This window comes from Homo sapiens, chromosome 14, assembly GCF_000001405.40.
Source record: "Homo sapiens chromosome 14, GRCh38.p14 Primary Assembly".
NCBI lineage: Eukaryota > Metazoa > Chordata > Mammalia > Primates > Hominidae > Homo > Homo sapiens.
The window spans coordinates 104868401-104892918 of NC_000014.9; the positions used below are offsets into that span (position 1 = coordinate 104868401).

Below are 24518 nucleotides of genomic sequence, written 5' to 3' on the forward strand. Positions count from 1 at the left end.
TCTAACAATCCCCTCTTCCCCAGGGCCAGACGGGCCCAGCCAGCACCAAGATGAGTGCCACGTCCTGGTTCCTGGTGAGCAGCAGCGGCGCCCGCCACCGGCTCCCTCGGGAGCTCATCTTCGTGGGGCGTGAGGAGTGTGAGCTCATGCTACAGGTTTGCAGGGAGCGCTTGGGGCCAGGAGGGTAGGGGGTAGACAGTCTGTCCCTGTGGAGGCCAGGAAGGTGCCCACCCCACTTGCTGCAGGCCACCCTGGCGAGGAGGCCGCCATGCAGCCCAGGCTGGGCCTCTTAACTTGGGTCCCGGATGCACCGAGGGCTCTGGGGCTCCCGTGGGTGCGTGCAGGGGTGTGTGTGTGCTCACAGGCTCGGGTCCCTGCCCCGTACGTATCCCTGTCTCTGACAGGAGGGGGCTTAGGCTTTTGTCAGGTTCTCAAAGTTGTTGGGGTCCCTAGAAGCGTGAGTTGGCGTCCTTTTGCAGAGAGGGAGCTGAGGCTGGGCTTTGGAAGGTCCTGGAAAGCCGGTCTGTCCATATTCTTGTTGTCTGGGGGCCCCGTCTATGCTGTGAGTGCTGCCTGAGCGGGGGTCCCAGTATCTTGGTCCCAGCTGCACCCTGGTGAAGGCTAGTGCCTTTTGGCGGCCTCCAGGCATGAGGGGTTCTTCTCAGGGCATGAGAGCCTGCCGAGCACCGGCACTGACAATCGGAAGTTTCTCTGGCCCTGGTTTGAGGTCTGAGTTTGGCTTTGTGGGGCTTGCGATCTGGCTGTTTGAGAACAAAGAGCAGGGGTGGTGAGCTAACCCCATAGGCCCATCCTGGCCTGATGTCCTTCCTCTACCCCGTGTGCCTGTGAACGAGTTGGGCTCCCTGTCCTGGCTCATCCCCCAGCGTGGCACGTGGGCCCCTGACCCAGGTGGATGGCACTGTCCAGTCTAGCCGAGGGGCCTGCAGGTGCAGGGAGCTGCCCTGCCCACTCAGACGTTGCCTCCTGGATGCAACGTGCTACTGCCGCACATGCCCGGGCCATGCCAGGCTCTGACGAGGTGGGCAGGCCTCAGGCTGTGGTGAGGGGTCCTGGCCATGTGCACATTCCCTGGGGCAGACAGTGTTTGTCTGCCTCTACCCAGGGCAGCCCCACCCGATATTGCTGCATGTGTCCTGCTGTGGCGGGAAGGTTTGTGTCCCCTGCAATTCGGAGGTTGAAGCTTCATTTCCAGCGTGGTAGCTTCAAGAGATGGGGCCTTTGGGAGGTGAGCAGGGCGTGAGGCTTTGCCCTTGGGAATGGGATCAGGGACCTTAAAAAGAGGCCAGAGGAAGCTGGCTCACCCCTTCTGCCCAGTGGGGACGCAGCATTCAAGATACCATCCTTGAAGCAGAGACAGGGCCCTCTCCAGACACCAAATTGGCCGGCGCCTAGATCTCGGGCTTCCAGCCTCCAGAACCGTGAGCAATACATTTGTGCCATTTCCACATTACTCAGGAATTTTGTTACAGCAGCTGGGATGGACTAAGTCCAGACATCCCAGCTTCTCCCCAGGCGTCCTCTGATCCTCTTGAGTCTGGACCCAGCAGGTCTCTCACCTTGTGGTTGGTTGTTCCGGCTCTGAAGTTCTTTAATCTGGAACATTCTCTCCCTTTTTTCTCTTTTCTTTATGCCTTTGGTAGCGGGAGAGAGTCGGTGGCTGGGGGCAGGAGTCGGCAAATGTTTTCTACAAGGGCCTGGTAAAGATTTTAGGTTTTATGGACCACAAAGTATCCACTGCAGCCCAGGCCTGTGGCCGTGGTGAGGGGCAGCCAGGGAGCGAGCGTGGGCGACCGAGGTGGGCGCGGCAGCACCTGCACTTCATTTATGGATGTTGAAGTATCAATTTCCCATAATTTTCATGTGTCATGAAATAGCCTTTTGATGATTTTCAATCATTTAAAAGTGTAAAGATCATTCTTAGTTCTCAAGCCATCTAAAGACAGGCGGCAGGCCATAGGCCACGCCCCACATACCCCACTGCCTCATGGGGCCGCAGCTGTATTTGGCGGGTTGCTCCCATGGTCTGCGTACAGGGGTGGCATCAGTGATGGCCGCGCTGCTCTACCTAGGGTGGCTAGGAGGGCTTCTTGGAGGCGGCGGCACTTTGGAGCCTCTGGAAGAAGCCAGAGTCAGCCTGCAGGCAGGGGACTGGTGTGGGTGCTCTTCCTGCCCCACCCCTGCACCAGGCCTGCTCTGCCTGCTTCTCCCTGGGGTAGGGGAAAAGTGCTGGGGGCAGGGTGCTCAGGGTGAGTTTGGGGTCCGATTCCGAGTTTCTGCACCTGTCAGTGGAGCCCTGAGCAGGTCGGGAGTGTTGGGGGCTTCCCAGCTCTCCTCAGTGGCCGCCCCTGGCCTGGGTGGGCCTGCATTTCTACCCCTCGCTGTTGTGGGTGGTGTCACCATTGTAAGATGTATCTCCATGGGGAAACTGAGGCTCAGGGAGGCCTTGCAGGTGTGGCGAGTGTGGGAAGGCTGTCTGCCTCCCGGTGCCCCTGCAGCGGCCTCCTACCTGCCCACCGCTGCCCCCTGCCGGCCTCTGTCACCCCTCACTCCCTGTGCACCTGCCCTAGAGGCTTCTCACCCCCACCCTACAGCCCCATGTCCAGCCCCTTGGCCCCTCTGTTGCCCCCACCTGAGGATGTTTGCACCTGCCGCCCCTCCCTGCAGCAACTTCCTTGGCACCTGCGCCAGGACCCCCGCCCTCTCAGCTCATGCTCAGGGGCCTCAGTGGCCCTTTCCGAACGCTGCTGCTTCCCCGAGGCCCTATCCACCTCTGCTCAGATGATCCACATGCTGCCTGGAGCCTGCTCTGTCCTCGGCTTCCAGCCTCCTACTGGATATGGCTGCTGCACTGGGGCCTCTCAGAGGCATCCCAAGCTCGGTGGCTGAACCAAACCTGTCACCCTCCGTCCCTTCCACCCGGGGTCCCCGCCAGGGTCCCCTTCCCTCTGCTCAGTGCCACCCCCACCCCCACCCCACGCACAGACAGGAATGCAGGCCTCCACTGGACCCAGCCTCTCCCCACACCTGCCCTGGCTCTCCGGACCCGGCTCACACCGACCTTCCTGCCCTGGAACCTCCACACCCTGTCCCAGCGCCCCCTCCACAGTCCTTGCTTTCGGCGCCACATCTTTCCACTGGGCAGGGTGTCAAGCAGAGACCCTGCCCTCCCTTGGCATCCACTGCAGAGAGGGGCCAGCAAGGTGTCCAGGGTCCAGTCCTGTGTAAAGAAGGTGGTACTGGGGACTGGGCGGTCAGCAGACACCTGCCTATGTTGTGCTGAGGCCCAAGGAGCCGCAGCAGCAGGAGTTGGGGCCGGTGAGGAGGGGGAGGCTGTGGGAGGACAGAGCTGAGCTGGGGCTACGGGGATGGGACATGGAGGGGAGACAAGCAGAGTGGGCGGCCCGAGGCCTGGGCTTTCACTAGGCAAGAGGGGCGGTAGCTTGGACCACAGCAGGTAGACGGGTAGGGGAGTTGTGTTCCAGGCAGAGCTGCCACCCACGTGCTGTCCCACGGACCACGCTGTCCAGGGCCCTGCCTCTGCTCCCCACAGTGTCCTTGTGCCCAGTGCAAGCCTGGCACAGAGCTGGTGCCCAGCGAACAGGCGTTAAATGACGCAGGAACGTGGACCCAGGCAGGACTTCCTGCTGTGGCTGTCACTCCTGTGGTGGCCCAGGCTGTGGTCCAGGGTGTGCGTGTGTGCGTCGTGTGTGTGCGTGTGTGTGCCGTGTGTGTGCGTGTGTGCCGCGTGTGTGTGCGTGTGTGTGCTGTGTGTGTGCCGTGGGTGTGCGTGTGTGTACCATGGGTGTGCCGTGCGTGTGTGCGTGTGTGTGCCATGTGTGTGCGTGTGGGTGTGCCGTGTGTGTGCCGCGTGTGTGTGCCATGGGTGTGCGTGTGTGCCGTGGGTGTGCGTGGGTGTGCGTGTGTGTGCGTGTGTGTGCCGCGTGTGTGTGCCATGGGTGTGCATGTGTGCCGTGGGTGTGCGTGGGTGTGCCGTGGGTGTGCCGTGCGTGTGTGCGTGTGTGTGCCATGTGTGTGCGTGTGGGTGTGCCGTGTGTGTGCGTGTGTGCCGTGTGTGTGTGCGTGTGTAAGTGTGCATGTGCATACATGTGCATGTCTGTAGGTGCACACATCTGTGTGTGTTGTGTGCATGTGTGTGCTGCATGTCTGTGGGGAGGTGTCCTCCGTGAGAGCGTGTGACAGCTGGGATTTGCACTCTTGCGTGCTGCCCCAGAGACCACAGCCTGGGCAGGCCCTGACCTTCTGTGCCCCGTGCATCGAGCCGGTCTGCTGCGGGTGCCTGTGGCCGCCAATGGGGAACTCGGGTGAGCTGGCAGGAGGGTGTGCCCAGAGCCCTGGCTGCTGCTACTGCCACTCAGCACAGCTGGGCCAGGCTGTTGCCCCAGAGGGCGTCAGACGTGAACTTTGGGAACATCTTTATTCTGTTTTAAAGTGAGCACAAATTATTAGACACTTTCCCCAAAATCCATGTGTTTGGGGCGTCTTCCGGCCATGCCACACATCTGTGTTTGCCTGGCTGTTTCTGCACCGAGTTCCGTCCACAGCCCGGGTTTCTGTTGTTTTAAGTCTTGAGCCCTGGGCCGGGGGCCACTTCTCATTGGTGGCTGGAGGCTCGGCCAAGTGAGGGGCTGCTTCTGGTTGGAGAGGGGAGTTTCTGGAAGGGGGTTCCCCATGTGTCTCCAGCGCTTCCTGCAGTCTGGGGAGGGGCTTGGCAGGAGCAGGTCTGGTGAGAAAGCCCTGGCCGGGGGTGGAGGCTCAGTCCTGGGAGTGGGCGGGGCAGCTGGGCTCGGGGTGTTAACAGGGTCCTGCGGGGGGACTCTGTGCTGAGTCAAAGGAGCCGGAAGCTGGTGTGGGCCGGGTGGGGTGGGGAAGGTGGGTGCAGGCAGGGGAGGGGGCTTGGACTGAAGGTGAGACCCAGGCCTGGGCAAGGATGCGGTGTGCCCAGAGCTGGCAGAGTCATCTGCCTGAAGCCTGACTGTGGCCTGGGTGGGGTAAGGAAGGTTTGGAGAGGCTTTGGGGCCTGCGGGAAAGGGGGCTGTGGAGAGAGAGGCTGACCGAGGGCTGCCGAGAGGAAGACCAGTGTTGCTGGAGCCTGTGGTGGAGAGGGGCTTGGTGGGTGAACCCTCCAGGGAAGGCCTGGGGCAGGGCTCAGAGGACCTGGAAGGTGTGCAGAGTTGTGTCCAGCAGGAGCTCTCGAGGCCCAGCGGGTCTGAGGCTAGGGGAGCAGCAGGGAGGCGTCCAGGCTGGAAACCCCTCCAGGGTTTCCACTCCTCAGCAGAGATGACATCCAAGTCACCCGCCCTCAGCCACCTCAGCCCTTTCCAGAGGGGACAGGGGCAGTAGCTCCTTCCTTCATGCCCCTGCTGGACCCCATCCCCTGGGGAGGTCTCATGCTGGCAGGGAGGGCCCGAGCCCGGCCCCAGGCCTCAGTGCTTCCTTTCTCTGAGACAGCAGCAGGTCCCCCTGGCCCCGTGGAGCCCATGTGTCGGGCGGGCTGAGGTGGGGATGCTGCCCTGTGCACAGGACAGGGTGCGGGAGTAGGTGAGCCCCAACCCCCTGAGGGAGATCCAGGCCTCCCAGCTTCCAGGCTGCACTCTCAGGCAGGGATCCTGGGGCCTGGCCCTCAGGGCTGCCCACGGGGCAGTTAGTGGCCTGAGGTGTCTCCAGCAGCCATCCTAGAGTTGGGGAGGGGGTCTCAGGACGGGCTTCTTGGAGGAGGTGAGTGCTGGGGGTCGCCTGTGTCTGGAGGCCTTCAGGGACAGGTAGGAAGTCCAATGGAGGAGGTGATGTCTGGCATCACCCACCCTGGCCAGGATCCTCCCCCAACCCCTCCGGCAGAGACTGCCACTGGGGTGGCCAGGAGCCACGTAGCTGTGGGTGCCAGCTTCGGAGAAGGAATTTGAACAGGGTGGACCTGGAGGTGGGTGGTGGCTATCAAGGTCAGACCCACTCTCAGAGACCTGTGGCTTTGGCTGGCAGGGGAGCTGGCACCAGGAGCCCCACCAGGATCCGCCTTCCCAGGGAGGGCATGTGGGGCAGGAGGAGCCGCTCACCTGGTTTCTGGGAAACCACGGGCTGTGTCTGGGCAGGCAGCTCAGGGATGGCTGCACCCAGGACCCTACTCTCCCCTTTAAACCTCCCTGGCACCCCTGCCCACTTCCTGGGGGGACCCAGGGTCCTGACAGGAGGGGTGGGCTCCTCGCCACCCTCCACTGTAGTCCCTGCCCCCGGTCCTCCACTGCAGTCCTCCCCTCAGTCCTCCACTGCAGTCCTCCCCCTGGTCCTCCACTGCAGTACCCCCCAACCCCCACCCCCGGTCCTCCTCTGCAGCGCAACCACCGTGGCTTGAGCCAGGCACCCAGGGCTTCTGAGTGCCCACTGCTGGGTGGCAGTGGCACTAGCGTGAGGCTGGCTCTCAGGCCTGCTGGCCACCACGAGCCCCACCCAGCTGCAGCTTCCCTGCCCTGGCACCTCTGCAGAGGCCTCAGTCAAGCTGGGCCATCAGAGCCCTTGCCCCCAACTAGCCCCTGCTGTGTGATCTCCTCTCTGAGTTAGGAAGGAGGCCCTGCCCTGAGGGTTTCTAGCCCTTGCCCAGGGGTGCTGGGGAAGGCCCCACACTGGTGTTTCATGACGGTGCCCTGTGGTGGGGCAGTGATGGCCAGCTGCCAGGGTGGCCTGCACGTGGCAGGCTAAGAGTGACCAGCCTGAGGGGCCCAGGCTCTCACCTGGGAGACTGAGAAGCCGTGCTGGCACTCAGGAGGGACTTCCAGCTCCTAGTCGTGTGGGTTGCAGGCCGTCCTGTCCCAGGGCTGGGGGACTTCCTTCAGGCCCATTGCTGCCTGTGGAAGCTGGCCTGGTGTCTTGTGGGTGTGCTGCCTGGATGGTCCCTAGGTGGTGGCGAGGGTCACACGCTGTCTGGGCCAGGACTCGGTGACTTCCCTGGGTCGGCTGGTTCTGCTGGCCTTTCCTGGGGCTGGATCCCCAGGCCTGTGGCTCCTGAGGTTTGGGGGCAGGAGGGATGGAGCCACCACCCAGAGCCCCAGGCAGCACAGGGTGCTGTGTGGAGTGGAGGCCGGGTGGGCAGCAGCCGTGCTTGCAGCGCTGTGTGGAGTTGGGGGCCGGGTGGGCAGCAGCTGTGCTCGCAGTGCTGTGTGGAGTGGAGGCCGAGTGGGCAGCAGCCGTGCTCGCAGCGCTTAAGCAAGTAGAAAGTGACTCGCCTCTGCCTCCGTCTCCCCATGCCCCAGTGGGGCAGTGATGGGGGCTTGGCTGTGGCCTTATGATTGGACGACCGGGCTTGACCTTGTGAGGGCACTAGGGCACCTGTCCTCCGGGGGGGTGGTCCTGGGTGGGCTAGTGGCCCAGAAAGGGTCGGCAGCACTTGGAGTGGGAGCACCAAAGGTGTGGACACTGGCTGAGAGTTGTGTGTGTTCCTGTGGGGCTGGGCCAGGAGTGGGGGAGGGCTCCCTGAGACAAGCCCCCTCACCGCCAGCCTGGCTGCCGCCACCTGACCTTGGGAGGGAGCAGCGTGTGCCAGATGACCAGAGGGCTCCCAGCACTCCCACGGCCCAGCGGGGAGCATCTCTGGGGAGGGCGGTCATGAGGGGAGGCCTGGGGCAGCAGCAGAGGGTGGGGGACGTGGCCCTGGCATCTTGGCGAATCCTGCTCTGGAGACAGGGTGGGCACAGCTCTGTGGTCAGAGGCCTGGGGGCCACTGCTGGTGTTGTGCTGGGGCAGGGGATGGAGCAGGGGTGCCTCTGCCTCTTGGGTGTCACCTCCTCCCCTGGAGCACCTGAGGGCTGGCTGTGTGTCTCTCCAGTCCCGCAGCGTGGACAAGCAGCATGCCGTCATCAACTACGACCAGGACAGGGACGAGCACTGGGTGAAGGACCTGGGCAGCCTCAATGGGGTAAGTGTGAGAGGCCCTGGCCTGGCCTTTTAACAGCTCGACCCTTCAGCCCTGGCCCCTCCCTCTCAGTTCTGGCTCCTCCCCCAGTCATAGCCCCTCCCTCTCAGCCCTGGCCCCTCCCTCTCAGTTCTGCCTCCTCCCCCAGCCATAGCCCCTCCTTCTCAGCCCTGGCCCCTCCTTCTCAGCTCTGGCTCCTCCCCCAGCCCTGGCCCCTCCCTCTCAGCCCTGGCCCCTCCCCCAGCCCTGGCTCCTCTCCAAAATCTGGCCCCTCTCCCAGATCGGGCCCCATCCCCAACTACAGAGGCCCCCAGGCCTCCCCAGAAGGCTCCCCCTGGCAGGGTCTCAGGCCGCCAAGGATCAGGCTGCTCTCAGGGAGAGTGGACCCTGCAGATGGGAAGGGAAGCACTAGGCTGGGGAATGGGGCCCCTGAAATGGAAGGAGCTATGCTTGGGTACCCAGTCTGGGTATGGGTGGAGCCATGTGATCCTTTCTTCTGTAAGTTGGGGGTGGCAGGGGCAGGAAGGTAACCCGGAGGGAACCCCTGGCTGCAAGAGCAGGGTTGGGGGGTCAGGTGAAAGGAATGGGGTATGGGGTGGAAGCAGGCAGGAAGGCTGGAGGCCCCTCTCTGGGGGCGTGTGTCTGTCCCTGAGGTCCCTGTCTGGATGTCTCTGTCTGTTGCTGCGCTTGGCGGACTCCAGCTTGTCCTGGGACACTCTATCTTTACTGCACTCTGCAGTCCTGAGCTGGGGGGCCCTAGCAGCCCCTCAGCAGCCCCTCAAGGAGCTCCGGCCAGGGGGTCTCAGGCTGCTGGGGTCTGTCCTGAGCTCCCTCCTCCCGCAGCATGCCTGTCTGATGAAGCGGCTGTCCCTGAATGGCTGCACAGCAAGTGGCCGCTCCTCTGCCTGTGTGGACTGCGTCACCCACATGGGCTTTGAGAGGGTCCCCGGGGTTGTTGGCCTGGGTTGCATGGCACCGTCCCAGTCCGTGCTCCTGGGCCCTGCATGGTTGGCTACTTCTGAGGCCTGTGATGCCCACAGACCTGCCTCCCACCTGCCTGTGGGACTGGTGCATCAACACTCCTGCCAGTAGGCAGCCTGGAGGGGGGTATCAGACCCTCTGAGGCCTGACCCTTGGCCAAGGGCCACCACAGGGCAGGCCTGCCTCGACTGTTCCCAAGGGCTCATGGGGCCAAGGTGGGGGCTGGGGCCAGCACGAGGCTGTATGGGTGAGAGGAAGCATCTCTTGGAGTCCACTTCACAAAGATGCTCAAAGAGTTCTGTTCTGGAGGGTTCCATCATGGTCCCTGCAGTGCTGGGTGGGCCCCAGTGTCTGGGTGCCCCTGCCATGGCTGTGGAACTTGGGGCTGGTGCCTGGGACAGTGCTGCACAGGCCATCACTCGCCGTGGGTTCCAGAGAGTTGGTGCCCCCGCGGCCCTGCCCACTGCCACCCACCTGCTCAGCCCCACCACCCTGCGGCCCTGCCCACAGCCACCCACCCGCGCAGCTCCCCCCCCCCCCCCGCCACCTGTTTTCCTGCAGACGTTTGTGAATGACATGCGCATCCCGGACCAGAAGTACGTCACGCTGAAGCTCAACGATGTCATCCGCTTCGGCTACGATATCCTGCCCCTGAGCGTCCCTCCTCCTGGGCTTCTTCTCAGTCCCCAGGACCACAGTCACCCTGTTACTCCAGAAGCAGGGCTGTCACTGCTGGGGTTGCTGGGTAACAGAGCACCAAGGATGACCCTAGGGCTGGGCTCCACCTGCTGATGGAGCACCCCAAGGAATGCCAGTCCCTGCAGCCCGGCCCCCCGTGGACACCCTGGCCACGGGTACCTGCTGCTTGCCCACCCACCCAGCCTGAGGTCACATGGGGCCTGGGGAACTGGTGACCACTCCCTAGGACCCCGAGTCCTGGCCCGACCTTGGGACTGTCTGAGCACATGGGTGGGCATGGCTGTGCCTCCCCGGGAAGAAAGAGGCCCCTCCTCTGCCTGCCTCGATGGGCCCTTGAGCTGGCACACCTGTTGCTGGGCGTGGACTTCAGCGCTGGGCTCCTGGCTCTTCTGCTCTGTGTTCGCCTTAACACGTGTCCACATTCCAACATGTATGTGCTGGAGCGTGTGCAGCACCGAGTCCCGGAGGAGGCACTCAAGGTTAGTGCTGGCCAAGCCCGGGTGGCTCAGCCACGAGGGCTCAGCCCCCCATCCTCCCCACCATGCTCCCGCTGCCATCTCCCCAGCAAACACTCACCAGGCCTCTGGGGCGCCCTGTTCAGGCTGCGGGTGCCATGAGTCAGGCCAGCCTGTCCTGCCCTGCCAGATGGCCCAGTCCGGCAGGTGGGAAGGTAGTCATTACCCCCAGCCTGCTGCAGTGACAGGTGGCGGGGGCACCGGGACGCGGGTGCCACTGTTGTGGATGCAGCAGCATCCGGGCTCTGGGAGGGGCCTGGGAGGAGCCGGGCTGCATGGTCAGCCTGCTGGAGCTCCTGGGCTTTCGGAGCTGCATCGCTGGGCACTGGCGGATTTAGCTGTGGCTCACAGAACAAATGGCTCATTGGGTGAGCTGGGTGGCCAGAGCCCAGGAAGCTGCTGGGGTCACCCTGCAGGAGAGTGCAGCGGGGCTGAGGCGGGGGCCAGCAGCCTCCCTGGGAGCAGAGGGCCCCGTTCAGAGGGCCAGGAGGGTATAGAGCCCCTGAGCCCCCCAGCATCTTTTTGGGAGTGTCTCTCAGGTTAAGTAGCTTTGGGGTCTCATAAGGGGCTTTAGATTCTCTGACATTACAGTTATTTGGAGTCTTCGAAGCTGAAGGGATTAAGAGTCTCTAGACAGAGTGTTTAGGGTCTCTGAGGCTGGGGAATTTGGTCTCTCTGTGAGTGAGATATTTAGGGTTCCTTAGGCTCGGGGGATTTGAGGATCTACGTGTTAGAGGATTTGGCGTTCCTCTGGGTGAAGGGATTTGAGGTCTCTGAAGCTGAGGTGCTTTGGGGTCTCATGCCCAGGGGATTAAGTTCGCTCCAGGTTAACGGATTTGAGTCCTTCAAGGTGGCAGGATTTGGGGTCACTTCAGGCTGAGAGGATTTGTTGCTTCTTAGGGTGAGGGGATCTGAGGTCTCCTGGGCTGAAATCTGAAGGTCTTAGGCTGAGGGTTTATAAGGGTTTTACGCTGCACGACCAAGGCCCCCCGAGTTCCTGTCAGTCTCTCCGATCTCCTCCCGCACTGCCCGCCCTGGCCGGGTGCCCTCTCGGAGCCCCTCAGGAGGTAACAGCTGCCCCCAGCACATTGATGAGGCCGCCAGCAGGGGGTGGCCAGAGGCAGGAAGGAAGGGTGCTGGAGGCCGACGGTGGCAGCCTTCAGGGGTGGGCATCCTTGCGTGCCCTTTCCCCGGTGTGCTGGCGACACGCACAGCCGGGGCCCCTGTGGGGGGCGTGAGGGTCCTAGGTGGGAACGGCATCTCCTCGCCCTCACTTGTTCATGTGGGAGTTGTGGAGCACAGATTCAGGGCCCTGTTCAGAGCTCCCCGGGAGCCCTTTGGGGCCAGGGCGCTTAGCCCGTTCCTCGGATGATCTCCGAGCAGCCTGGGGTCCCCCAGCCTGCAAGGGGCAGGGCCTAAGGGAGTCAGGTTCTGTCTGATGGCACAAGCGGCCCTGCTGCCCATCCCAGGGCCCCCACTCTGATGATCGCAGCCTGCTCTGTCCTGCCCCACCCAAGCAGGCCCCTGCTTTCCCTGGAAGCTGCCCCTCCCCAGGCTTGAGCTGGACCCCGAGCCGTGTTACCTGGGCAGGCTGAGGCTCTGTCTGCTCTTTTGGGGAGCATTAGGGAGAGCTTGTGACATGCAAAGTCATAGCTGGGCCCTCTGGATGGAGAGGAGAGGCTGGGCCCACCCTGGTGGGTTCCTCCTGAGGCTGGGCCCAGTACCTCACCCCGCCTGGCCTGCCCACAGCATGAAAAGTACACCAGCCAGCTGCAGGTGAGCGTGAAGGGTTTGGCGCCCAAGAGGAGCGAGGCACTGCCGGAACACACACCATACTGCGAGGCCTCGAACCCCAGGCCGGAGAAGGGGGACCGGAGACCAGGAACAGGTAGGCCCAGGCAGTGCGGATGGGGTGAGCACACAGGGCCACTGCCAGGCCCTCTGCCCCGCACCTGCCTCTCTGCACCCCTTAACCCTCTGCATGCATATACCATGTACACCCATACCCCTCACCCTTTGCACACACCTACCCTTGCACATGCACACCCCTCACCCATTGTGCACACCTACCCTTGCACACCCACATTCCTCACCCATTGCACACACCTACCCGTGCATGCCTGCACCCCTCACTTCTGTACACACCTACCCATGCATGCCTGCATCTTCGTTATACACACCCTACTCATGCACACCCACACCACTCACCCCTGTGCACACCTACCCATACATGCCCATAGCTCTCACTGCTGTGCACAGACCTATCATGCACACCCATACTGCTCACCCCTGTGCACTCACACCCCCACCCCTGTACACACATCTACCTGTGCACACCCACATCCCTCACCTCTTACCCCACACACACAGCTACCCATGCACACCCACACTGCTCACCCCTGTGCACACCTACCTGTGCACGCCTGCACCCCTTGAGCCCACAGTTCTTGTGGGGTTGGTGGGCCACCAGCTGGGCACCCTCTGTCCCCAGTGGTGAGAGGCAGGTGATGGGGGGGTGAGGCTATGCTCCCTAGTATCAGGCATTTGGACTGGATTCTGCAGACCGAGCCAGCAGGGCTCAGGGGTTGGTGGTTTCTGATGAAACCTGATTTGCGCCTTTGGCAGTCAGTGCAGCGGGTAGGCAGAAGTCTGGGAGGAGGACAGCTGCACGAGGGTCCGCGTGGGTCCGGTGGGCACAAAGGGAAGGGAAGGAGCGAGAGTGAGAAAGTGCCTGGTGGGGTGTGGAGGGGTCGGGGTGGGGTATCCAAGCCTGAGGCCCCAGACTTGAGTTCTGGTTAGACAGGGGTGTATCCGGGGATCAGGCTCTCGGCTCCCACCTCGGTCCAGGAGGGGTCACCCTGCCACCCCCAGCTTTGGCCCCATGTCTGCTGTGTTCTGCTGTCAGCCCACACATCTGTGTTGTACAGCCGCAGCTGCCGGTGTCTGGTTGGGATGCAGGTCCGCCCAGAATGGAAGACCGCTGGGGACTGGGAAGCTTTCCAGAAAGCCATCTGAGCTCCCCAGAGCACCTGTCAGTGTCCAGACTGTGAAACACATGCAGCTGGTGACAGCCAGTGTGGGGCTGTCCCGGAGGTCATGACAGGTGCAGCCAGCTGGGCAGCCTGGCTCCTTGGCTCCGTTAGAGCGAGGGCAGCACATTGTGGGGACCAAGGAGGAGTTCAGGGCCGGCAGCAGATGGGGACTGCCTGGTAGCAGATGCCCCTGCCTCAGCAGCCCCTGGGTGTGTCCCTGGGTCAAGAGGGAGTCCCCAGGGAGGGGTAAGGCGTGTGTGACACATCTCAGGGGCCCTGCATCCCCAGCGCAGTGTGCACATGGTTCCCTATGGGTAACTGGCCCCAGCGCAGTGTGCACATGGTTCCTGACGGGTGACTGGCCCCAGACCCTCTGGCCCCCCAGCAGTGTAAGCAGCTGGGGGCCATGACGCAGAGGCCCCCTGGGCTTCCGCAAGGATGGAAAGAGCTTGGGTGGAGGGCCCAGGAAGGAGACTGTGGGCATGAGGGCCAGCGCCCTGACCTGAGGGCACTGGACACTGCTTCTGTTCACTGCTGCCATCAGGAAGGGCTGGGCTGCCGGCTTCTCAGAGGGAGTCAGGAGTGAGATTCTATCTGAAATATACAATTTCCCTCCTGGTCATTAAGGCAAACAAACTAAAATGCCGCAGGGACCATGTAGATTGCAGTGGCTGCCCACCCCCAGGGCCACCCATTTGTGGCCTGAACCATTTACCAGCCTTGGAGGTGGCTGGACCCAGGTGTGGGCTCCCCCTGGCCTCCTGCCCTCTGTTGGATGCGCTCTGGGGTCGGGAAGGCCGGGGCAGGGTTGCAGGACGGAGGTGGGGGGCCCCCACCATGCCCCAGGGGATGAGCCTCTGAGTACATCAGAGGGGAGAGAGGAGGGGCCAGGCAGGGAGGAGGGGCCAGGCAGGCAGGGAGCCTCTAAGCACTTGTGGGAGGAGGTGGGGCCAGGCAGGGAGGGGCCAGTGAGCCACCTCGGAACTCAAGGTAGTCAACATTCCCCACAGAGGCGGGGCCCTGGGCTGCCACAGGGCCAAGCTGGGAGGTGATGCCAGGGCCTGCCCCAGAGTCCAGCCTCTCCTGGGCTGCCAGTTCTCTGCTTTTCACACTGGGGGCCCCAGCAACACAGGGTCTGACCTCTCGCTCCCTCCACAGAGGCAGCCTCTTACCGCACACCCCTGTATGGGCAGCCCTCCTGGTGGGGTGAGGACGATGGTAGCACGCTGCCTGACGCCCAGCGCCAGGGAGAGCCCTACCCAGGTTGGTCTTGGGGCCAGGCTGGTGAGACCCTGAGGGCTCCCAGAGGGTGGTGTGTGAAGGGGATGGCCTGGGCTTGAGGAGCCCACTCCGGGGGACATGGGGCCTGTCTCCCCCTCTTGGGTGGAGTGGATGGTCCTGGCTGAGGAGGGTGGTGGCAGGTGGTTACCCTGAGGCCCGGTCTGAAGACATCTTCCCACACCAGAGCGCCCCAAGGGACCAGTGCAGCAGGACGGGGAGCTCCACGGCTTCCGCGCCCCTGCTGAGCCTCAGGGCTGCTCGTTCCGGCGGGAGCCCAGCTACTTCGAGATCCCCACGAAGGAGACCCCGCAGCCGTCGCAGCCCCCCGAGGTGCCGGCACACGAGATGCCCACGAAGGATGCAGAGGCAGGTGGGGGCGGAGCGGCCCCTGTGGTGCAGAGCCACGCCTCCTTCACCATCGAGTTTGATGACTGCAGCCCTGGCAAGATGAAGATCAAGGACCATATCACCAAGTTTTCCCTGCGCCAGCGGCGGCCCCCGGGCAAGGAGGCCACACCTGGCGAGATGGTGTCGGCTGAGACCAAGGTGGCCGACTGGCTGGTGCAGAATGACCCGAGCCTGCTGCACCGGGTTGGCCCTGGGGATGACCGCCACAGCACCAAGAGCGACCTGCCTGTCCACACCCGCACCCTGAAGGGTGAGTGCCCAGCTGGCGGCCGTGCCAGTCCCGGGACAGGCAGGGGACCGGACTTTGGCTGGGTCTGCACTGTTGCCATGCAGAGGGGCCCATTCAGCTGGGTTGACTTCCCATTTTTCAGTTAATTGCCTAAGAGCCACCTGCCTGGTCAGGAGTCCGGTCCTGCGTCTTCCCGTTGCACTTCTTTGCCCTGTGTGGGGGGGCCCTGAGGGCTGGGGTGCTTTGTCAACTCAGCTAAGGCATGGGGTGATGAGGCTGCCTGAGATCGACAGCTGTTTCCTTTCTCTCGGCCTGACAAGGTGGGGTCCCCTGTCTCCCCCAGGCCACAAGCACGAGGACGGCACGCAGAGTGACTCAGAGGACCCCCTGGCCAAGGCGGCCTCGGCCGCTGGGGTGCCCTTGGAGGCCAGCGGGGAGCAGGTGCGGCTGCAGAGGCAGATCAAGCGGGACCCCCAGGAGCTACTACATAACCAGCAGGCCTTTGTCATCGAGTTCTTCGACGAGGACACACCCCGAAAGAAGCGCTCCCAGTCCTTCACGCACAGCCCGTCCGGGGACCCCAAGGCCGACAAGCGCCGTGGCCCAACGCCGGCCGATAGGGACCGCCCCAGTGTCCCAGCCCCAGTCCAGGCAGGGGGCCGCAGCTCGGGGCCACAGAGGGCCGGCTCGCTCAAGCGGGAGAAGACAGAGGAACGGCTGGGCAGCCCCTCGCCCGCCTCCCGAACCCCTGCCCGCCCCTTCGGAAGCGTGGGGCGCCGCTCCCGCCTGGCCCAGGACTTCATGGCCCAGTGTCTGCGGGAGAGCTCCCCGGCCGCCCGGCCCAGCCCCGAGAAGGTTCCTCCGGTGCTGCCCGCTCCCCTGACACCCCATGGGACCAGCCCCGTGGGCCCCCCGACCCCACCGCCCGCCCCCACGGACCCCCAGCTGACCAAGGCACGGAAACAGGAGGAGGACGACAGCCTCAGTGACGCAGGGACATACACCATCGAGACCGAGGCGCAGGACACGGAGGTGGAGGAGGCCCGGAAGATGATCGACCAGGTGCAGCCCAGCGGCGAGTGAGAGCCCTCGTGGGGAACGGGGGGGTGGAGGCGATGCCGGGGGTGGCGAGTGAGAGCCCTCGTGGGGAACGGGGGGTGGAGGCGATGCCGGGGGTGGCGAGTGAGAGCCCTCGTGGGGAACGGGGGGTGGAGGTGATGCCGGGGGTGGCGAGTGAGAGCCCTCGTGGGGAACCGGGGGTGGAGGTGATGCCGGGGGTGGCGAGTGAGAGCCCTCGTGGGGAACGGGGGGGTGGAGGTGATGCCGGGGGTGGCGAGTGAGAGCCCTCGTGGGGAACGGGGGGGTGGAGGTGATGCCGGGGGTGGCGAGTGAGAGCCCTCGTGGGGAACGGGGGGTGGAGGTGATGCCGGGGGTGGCGAGTGAGAGCACTCGTGGGGAACGGGGGGTGGAGGCGATGCCGGGGGTGGCGAGTGAGAGCCCTCGTGGGGAATCGGGGGTGGAGGCGATGCCGGGGGTGGCGAGTGAGAGTACTCGTGGGGAACGGGGGGTGGAGGCGATGCCGGGGGTGGAGGTGGGCGGACGTTGTCCTGCTCCGGCCCAGCCCTGGCTCCTGCCTCTGGCCCAGCTGGGCAGGAGGGAGCCTGGTATGCTGCCCACAGCCCCGCCCCTCCCCTTCCCAGGGCTGGGTCCGTATCCCATCCGCATGTCCTGCTGACAGCCAGGCTGCATGTCCCGGCCACCAGCCACTCTGGCCAACCAGGTCCCTGCTCTCCCTGTGGCCTGGGGGTGGCCAGTGTCAGTGGAGGGTTGGGAGGTGGGCTTCTCTGACCCTCGGTGCCTGGGACCATTTCCTCTTGGCAGGTCTTTGGGGTGTTGGAGTCCCCTGAACTCTCCAGGGCATCTTCGGCCACCTTTCGCCCAGTCATCAGAGGGGACAGAGATGAGTCTGATGACGGGGGCGTGGCCCAGCGGATGGCGCTACTGCAGGAGTTTGCCTCCCGGCCACTGGGTGCGGCCCCCCAGGCGGAGCACCAGGTACAGGCACAGACGGCCACCCCAAGGAGGGGCTGGGCAGGAAGAGGGCAGCATCCAAGCCGGACCTGGGGTCAGCGGGCCCCCCATGGGGCGAGACTGGACTTTCCTCTGAGGGACACGCTCAGAGGAGGGTGGGCTGGGGCTTCCATGAGGAGGGATCGGGGCCAGGTGTCAGGCCCACTGTTGATTTGAGGTCCTGGGCAAAACGGGCTCTGAGGTCAGGACAGGGCCACGGCTGCTCTGCCAACCTGGAACTGAGTTCTGTGAGGCTGCCTGGGCTGGGCAGGCAGGGGGTCGCGTTGGAGCAAGTCCAGGCGAGGCAACTGGGATCCCTGGCTGCCTTTGCAGGGGCACGCTTGCTCATGCGGCAGGCCCTGGGTGGCGCGCATGCGTGGGGCTGGTGTTGGCTGCTCTGGACGCCCCTCCTGTTCCCTGGCACCCCCTGCTTCTCGCCGTTGGGCTTGCGTGTGGAAACACTCCCACCCTCCTCTCCACAGGGCCTCCCGGTGCCGGGCTCCCCTGGGGGTCAGAAGTGGGTGTCCCGCTGGGCCAGCCTGGCTGACAGCTACTCAGACCCGGGCCTCACAGGTAAGTGGCTCCAGTGCTGCGGGGGAGTCGGGCCAGGCCGGGGCGGGCCTCAGGCCACTGACCACGGACACAGGCTGCCTCTTCCTGAGCGTGGAGGGCCTGCAGACCAGCGGCCCTCTAACCGGCTGCCTTTGTGCTCCACAGAGGATGGCCTGGGACGTAGAGGCGGGGAGCCGGAGGGGTCCCTGCCTGTGCGCATGCGGCGACGGCTCCCTCAGCTGCCCAGTGAGAGGGCTGACAGCCCTGCGGGCCCAGAGAGCAGCAGGAGGAGTGGGCCTGGGCCACCGGAGCTGGACAGTGAGCAGCCCAGCCGCCTCTTCGGCCAGGAGGAGTTGGATCCTGACAGCCTCAGCGATGCCAGTGGGTCGGACGGGGGCCGAGGCCCCGAGCCAGGGGTGGAGCCACAGGACAGCAGACGCAGGAGCCCCCAGGAGGGGCCCACGTGGAGCAGGGGTCGGCGCTCACCAAGGGCCCCCGGGGAGCCAACTCCCGCCTCTTTCTTCATTGGGGACCAGAATGGGGACGCTGTGTTATCTAGGAAACCGCTTGCGGCTCCAGGGGATGGGGAGGGCCTAGGGCAGACAGCCCAGCCCAGCCCCCCAGCACGGGATGGCGTCTATGTCAGTGCCAATGGGAGAATGGTCATCCAGCTACGGCCTGGACGGTCCCCAGAACCCGACGGCCCTGCCCCAGCCTTTCTCCGGCAAGAGAGCTTCACTAAGGAGCCAGCCAGTGGTCCCCCAGCGCCCGGCAAGCCCCCCCACATCTCCAGCCACCCGCTTCTACAGGACCTGGCCGCTACCCGGGCCGCACGCATGGACTTCCACTCCCAGGACACCCACCTGATCTTGAAGGAGACGGAGACGGCCCTGGCGGCCCTGGAGGCCCGACTCCTCTCTAATTCTGTGGATGCCGAGTGTGAGGGGGGCAGCACCCCGAGGCCGCCGGAGGACGCCCTGTCTGGGGACTCGGACGTGGACACAGCCAGCACCGTCAGCCTGCGTAGTGGCAAGAGCGGGCCCAGCCCCACAACCCCCCAGCCTCTGCGGGCACAGAAGGAGATGTCGCCATCCCCGCCAGCTGCACAGGACCCGGGAGGCACCGCCCTGGTCAGTGCCCGTGAGCAGTCCTCAGAGAGGCAGCATCACCCACTTGGCCCGACGGACATGGGCCGTGGAGAGCCGGTACGGCGCTCAGCCATAAGGCGTGGCCACAGGCCCCGAGGGTCCCTGGATTGGCCCAGTGAGGAGCGTGGCCCTGTCCTCGCCCACCTACCCAGCTCAGATGTGATGGCCTCCAACCACGAAACCCCTGAGGCCACCGGGGCAGGACGGCTAGGTTCTCGCCGGAAACCAGCGGCCCCACCGCCATCCCCAGCTGCCCGGGAGGAGCAGAGCCGTAGCTCAGCCAGCTCCCAGAAGGGGCCGCAGGCCTTGACCCGCTCCAACAGCCTGTCCACCCCTCGCCCCACACGGGCCTCCCGGCTGAGGCGGGCCCGGCTGGGGGACGCTTCAGACACTGAGGCTGCGGATGGTGAGCGGGGGTCCCTGGGCAACCCTGAGCCCGTGGGCCGGCCAGCTGCTGAGCAGGCCAAGAAGCTGTCACGCCTGGACATCCTGGCCATGCCCCGGAAGCGGGCCGGCTCCTTCACAGGGACTAGTGACCCCGAGGCAGCCCCTGCCCGCACCAGCTTCTCTGGCCGCAGTGTGGAGTTGTGCTGTGCCAGCCGCAAGCCCACCATGGCCGAAGCACGGGCTGTCTCCAGGAAGGCTGCCAACACAGCCACCACCACGGGTCCCCGCCAGCCCTTCAGCAGGGCCCGCTCAGGCAGTGCCCGATACACCTCCAGTGAGTGCCAGGGCGGGTGGGAGGCCAGGGCCAAGACAGGGCTGCCAGTGGGTCTGCAGCATCTTGGATGCCAGCTGAGTGCTGGCCGTGGGCCCCTGGTCCTGGCACGAGAGGAGCCTCTGTTCCCAAAGCTGGGGTAGATGTGTTGCTGGACTCACGTGCACACACACACGTGCATGGGCCGAGGGCAGGGCCCGCAGTCCCCTGGTGTGGGTAGAACACCCTGACCATCTCTGGCGTGGAGAGGGCCTTCCATCCCCCAGGGTGTGCCTCAGGGCCCCGAAGCCCAGGCTGGCCCTCCCCACTCTTCCTGTACTCCTGGCTCAGGCCCCTGGTGCCTTTGGGTCCCCACGCCATCTGCCCATGGGCCTGAGGCCCTAGGCCTGGGGAGGGCTGTCCCATGGATCTCTGCCGCAGTACTGTGGCTCAGTGAAGGGTGCCAAGTACACCTGTGCCCTCCGCTGGTAGCTGCTCTAACACCCTTCTGAGCCCGCAGGCCCCATGACCAGGGAGGGAGGGAGGGCTGTGAGCAGAGTCCTGCCCTGCCCCCCAGATGTCCATGGGCACAGCAAGCGGGGATGGTCCTCTGTGGCCACCAGAGCTGGCCTCCTACCTGGGGTGGCCGGACATCCGCGTCTGCAGAGCGGGGCCCACCCCGCCCGCCGAGGCAGCTGAGCTGTCCTGCGAGTGGATTGGTTTGAGGTCAAGGTGCTGCTGCTACTGCCTTCTGCCCTGTGCACCCACCTACCCACCCACGATCCCAGTGGAGCCTCTTTCCTGACTCCCAGCATCCTCCCACAGCCCCACCCCAACTGCTGGCTGCACTGGGCAGGCCTTGCGTATGGCTGGAGGCTGAGGCAGGGTTCGCTGGAGGAAGGGGTGGGGCGGGGCCGAGGGTCACCCCTGCTTGGTGGAGCCTGCTGTCCCTACCCGACGTGGTGCACTGGTGGTGTTTGACCCAAGCATGCGGCTCGCCATCATGCCCCGCTACAGTGCAGGAGCGCAGCTGCTGCCAGGCTTAGAGCAGGGGCTGGTGAGGAGGCCAGGACTCTGCCCAGGAGGGCGGAACCTGAAGCTTTGGGTCTGACAAACTCAAGCAGGCAGCAGGGAGGGACTGCAGTGGCCTTGCTTGCGCTCTGACTGGTCCTTGCCTGTCTGTGTGGTCCAGCCTGGGCCGCAGCAGGTCCTGGTGGGGAGGTTTACTCTGTTTTGGGGTCTGTCAGGCACTGCTTTCCCACCACCTGTAAGGGGGTTTCCCACCTAATCAGCTGCAGACTGCTCCCGGGTTGCAGCCACTGGCCTGGGAGCACCAGGCCGCCTTCCCCGCATGTGCCCTGGGCTGGTGGGGGCCTTGTGGTCCCTGGAGCTCAGCAGCTGTTGATGTTTCAATGAAGGGCTACTGGGTGGGGGCACCAGCCTCGACGCTGCCCAGCCCTGCAGCACTGAGCCCTCTCCCAGAGGGACCCTGGGACTGCCACAGGGTGCTGAGTGCTGCTTTGTTCTGTTCTTGCTTCTAAAACCAATTCACTCACCAAGACACGAGGCGCCGGCAGCAGGGCTCGGATTACACGTCCACCTCTGAGGAGGAGTACGGCTCCCGCCACGGCTCCCCCAAACACACACGCTCCCACACCTCAACAGCCACTCAGACCCCGAGGGCTGGCAGCTCCAGCCGGGCTCGTTCCCGGGCCCCCGGCCCCCGGGACACGGACGACGATGAGGAGGAGCCTGACCCTTATGGTTTCATCGTGCAGACGGCAGAGATTGCGGAGATTGCCAGGTGAGTAGCCCATTCAGAGTAAATCCACTGGGTGCCAGTGCGTTTTCTTGAGTGAGAGCACCCTGAGGGCAGGGACCAGGCTGGGAGCTCCCTTCTTGAGTGGATAGATGGTACGGCAGATGGCTGGCTGGCTGGATGGATGGACAAATGGATGGATGGATGGATGGATGGATGGATGGATGGATGGATGGATGAATGGATGGATGGATAGGAGGGTGGGTGGGTGGATGGATGGATAGGAGGGTGGGTGGGTGGGTGGATGGATGGATGGATGGGCAGGTGGGCAGGTAGATGGATAGGTTGCTGGGTGGGTGGATGGGTGGATGGCTGGGTGGGTAGGTGGGTGGGTGGGTGGATGGATGGATGGATGGGAGGGTGGGTGGGTGGATGGATGGATGGATGCATGGATGGATGGATGGATGGATGGATGGGTGGGTAGGTGGGTGGGTGGGTGGATGGATGGATGGATGGATGAATAGGAGGGTGGGTGGGTGGATGGATGGATGGATGGATGAATGGATGAGTGAGTGGGTGGATGGATGGATGGGTGAGTGGGTGGGTGGGTGGATGGATGGATGGATGAGTGTGTGGATGGATGGATGGATGAGTGGGTGGGTGGATGGATGGATGAGTGGATGGATGGATGGATGGATGGATGGATGAATGGATGAGTGAGTGGGTGGATGGGTGAGTGGGTGGGTGGATGGATGGATGGATGGATGAATGAGTGGGTTGGTGGATGGATGGATGAGTGGGTGGGTAGATGGATGGATGAATGGATGGATGGGTGAGTAGGTGGGTGGGTGGGTGGATGGATGGATGGATGGATGGGTGAGTGAGTGGGTGGATGGATGGAAGGATGGATGAGTGGGTGGGTGGATGGATGGATGGATGAATGGATGAGTGAGTGGGTGGATGGATGGATGGGTGAGTGGGTGGGTGGATGGATGGATGGATGAGTGGTGGGTGGATGGATGGATGGATGAATGGATGAGTGAGTGGGTGGATGGATGGATGAGTGGGTAGATGGATGGATGGATGGATGGATGAGTGGGTGGGTGGATGGATGGATGGATGGATGAATGGATGAATGAGTGGGTGGGTGGGTGGATGGATGAATGGATGAGTGGGTGGGTGGATGGAGGGATGGATGGATGGATGGATGGATGAGTGGGTGGATGGATGGGTGGGTGGGTGGATGGATGGGTGGGTGGGTGTGTGGATGGATGGGTGGGTGGGTGTGGATGGATGGATGAGTGGGTGGGTGGATGGATGGATGGATGGATGGATGAGTGGGTGGGTGGATGGATGGATGGATGGATGGAGAGTGAGTGGGTGGATGGAGGGGTGGGTGGATGCAGATCTTCCCAGGAGGTGAGACCGCCAGTACAAGGAGGGCCTCCTCAAAGGTTTTCATTAGAAATGAACTCCCTCACATGGTCATTCAGTAACAGGGCCCTCTCCAGGCCAGGCGCTGGGGAGGATGGGGTAGGGAGTTGGGTGGGAGTGAGAGTGGTCTTTGCCAAGCAGTGGTCAGTACTGCAAAGGCAGTCCCTGAAAGGCTGTGGGGCAGGCAGGGGGGGTCCCAGGACCAGGGTGGATGGCAAGTGTTTGTTGTGGAGGATGCTGAGCTTGAAGCCCATGAGGGACCTGGAAGGAGGTGGCCAGGAGCAGGCGGCCCTTAGAGAGTGGCCCACACTGGGGTGGAGGCGCAGGCACCTGAGGCTGTGAGCAGCATGAAGTTGGTGGGGAGGACCTGGGGGGCTTGGAAGGATGGGGACTGGGGACAGGGCTCTTGGGATGCTTGAGGTATTGGGGGAGCATAGGGAAGAAGGCTGCCATCAGCGGAGGAGGCTAGCACAGGGCTAGGGCTCTGGACAGAGACACTGCACCTGGCTGAGAAGGGGGTGGGTGCTTCCAGGCCTGAGAGCAGAAGGGGATGTGGGGGGCCCATGTGGGTTTCTGGAGTTCTCTGCCTTCCATGGTGGGTGAGCTGGAGCATGCCATATGACGGGGGCAGGAGGCCAGGGAGTGCTGGGCGGGGGCCTGAGGGCCAGGGGCATGTGCCAGTTGGTGTCACCCAGAGGTGGAGGGAGGGCTTCCATGTTTTGTCTTGATGTGGAATGGTGGACCCAGCTAGGACCCAGTCCTGAATGGGGCCAGGGCAGCCAGTGGGATGTGCAAGGCCATCTGGGCAGAGGGTGCTGGGGGTGTTTCTCTGGTCGTGCCAGTGTCTGGCGAGGGTTGTGGTGCCGCTGGAGGTAGGGGTAGGGGGAGGGCCCTCAGGGTGGTCTGTTCCTTGGGTGACTGCCAGTGTGGGGGCCGAGGAGGCTTGGGGTGGGGCCTGTCCCCATGAGGATGGGTGGTTGGCAGTGACAGGGAGCCTAGGTCCCCACGGCCTGGGCTGAAGGCCTAAGTGGGGCAGGACCTGCTGGTGGCCCAGGTGCTTAAGGGGCCAGCAGGACAGCTGACGAGGCTGTGCGCTCCAGCAGAGGGCTGGGAGCTGCTCACGGGCCCGGCAGGCCCCTGTCCTCGCTGGGAAGTGTCTGTTACCTCGGCAGGGTGGAGGCCTGTGCCCCCTGGGCACATCCTAGGGGGACTGAGCTGGCCAGGCTTGAGCAGGGGGCTAGGCTGAGCTGCCATTGGCCTCACTGGCCTGCAAGGGGTCCCCTCCCTCTCTGGATCTGCCCAGCCCCACCCTCTGCCCAGCCCCACCCTCTGCCCAGCCCCCACCCTCAGTGTGAGGAGTGCCAGGCTGTAGTTTCTGTGGCCTCAGCCCACTCCCTTCCTTGCCTCAGTTTCTCTGCCTGCAGAGCTGGGCACCCGTGGCACCCACACGTTCTATGACTGAGTCCCATCCATCCCATTTGGGCCCCGCAGCTGTGATGCTGGCCCTGGGGGGCCGGAGAGAGAGGAGGTGTGGCCTGCCCCAGAGCCAGCAAGGGTTTCTGTGCACCCTTCTTTTCAGGCTCCGTCCCAGCCCCCCACCATCCCTCCTTGTGGCTGTGGGGAGTTTGGCCTCCCTTTGGGGCCGTGGCCAGTGCCTGTGTAACCAGTGGCTAGGCCGGTGTTTGGGGCCAGGCTGGGGAGCACCTCCCCCAGGCCCCACCTCTGGCCAGCAGCTGCCTGGGAGCTGGGAGGGGCTTTGAGGCCTGTCTGG

The 24518-nt window shown here is 64.1% G+C and overlaps 1 protein-coding gene across 12 annotated transcripts in view, besides 5 other annotated features; it reads left to right on the forward strand.

Annotated features, from left to right (window-relative positions):
- Positions 1–24518, forward strand: part of CEP170B (centrosomal protein 170B) — a 32235-nt gene that overhangs the window by 3888 nt on the left and 3829 nt on the right. For 5 of the 12 annotated variants that reach the window (XM_047431287.1, XM_011536665.3, XM_005267550.5 and 2 more), the window contains 12 exons: positions 24–155; positions 7856–7945; positions 9485–9563; positions 10043–10101; positions 11887–12025; positions 14328–14432; positions 14635–15108; positions 15431–16149; positions 16969–17142; positions 17640–17730; positions 17875–19578; positions 21115–21358. In XM_047431287.1, the coding sequence (XP_047287243.1) occupies positions 51–155; positions 7856–7945; positions 9485–9563; positions 10043–10101; positions 11887–12025; positions 14328–14432; positions 14635–15108; positions 15431–16149; positions 16969–17142; positions 17640–17730; positions 17875–19578; positions 21115–21358 (3983 nt within the window). In that variant the 5' untranslated portion in view covers positions 24–50. The other 7 variants (NM_001112726.3, XM_017021229.2, XM_017021228.2 and 4 more) reach the window with 7 other exon arrangements.
- Positions 2469–2518: a silencer, noted in NCBI's record as "silent region_6205". NCBI's record gives its function as "represses an Ori minimal core promoter by ATAC-STARR-seq in GM12878 lymphoblastoid cells {active_cell/tissue: GM12878}" and the evidence as "EXISTENCE:reporter gene assay evidence [ECO:0000049][PMID:35858748]".
- Positions 7931–8116: a silencer, noted in NCBI's record as "fragment chr14:105342668-105342853 (GRCh37/hg19 assembly coordinates)". NCBI's record gives its function as "represses an EF-1alpha promoter that drives an FKBP-Casp9 reporter gene in an ReSE screen in phorbol 12-myristate 13-acetate-treated (for megakaryocytic differentiation) K562 erythroleukemia cells {active_cell/tissue: K562(+PMA)}" and the evidence as "EXISTENCE:reporter gene assay evidence [ECO:0000049][PMID:32094911]".
- Positions 8800–9358: an enhancer, noted in NCBI's record as "H3K4me1 hESC enhancer chr14:105343537-105344095 (GRCh37/hg19 assembly coordinates)". NCBI's record gives its function as "activates a minimal SCP1, AML or CMV promoter by ChIP-STARR-seq in primed H9 embryonic stem cells {active_cell/tissue: H9 hESC(primed)}" and the evidence as "EXISTENCE:reporter gene assay evidence [ECO:0000049][PMID:30033119]".
- Positions 13016–13924: an enhancer, noted in NCBI's record as "H3K4me1 hESC enhancer chr14:105347753-105348661 (GRCh37/hg19 assembly coordinates)". NCBI's record gives its function as "activates a minimal SCP1, AML or CMV promoter by ChIP-STARR-seq in naive H9 embryonic stem cells {active_cell/tissue: H9 hESC(naive)}" and the evidence as "EXISTENCE:reporter gene assay evidence [ECO:0000049][PMID:30033119]".
- Positions 13925–14832: an enhancer, noted in NCBI's record as "H3K4me1 hESC enhancer chr14:105348662-105349569 (GRCh37/hg19 assembly coordinates)". NCBI's record gives its function as "activates a minimal SCP1, AML or CMV promoter by ChIP-STARR-seq in naive H9 embryonic stem cells {active_cell/tissue: H9 hESC(naive)}" and the evidence as "EXISTENCE:reporter gene assay evidence [ECO:0000049][PMID:30033119]".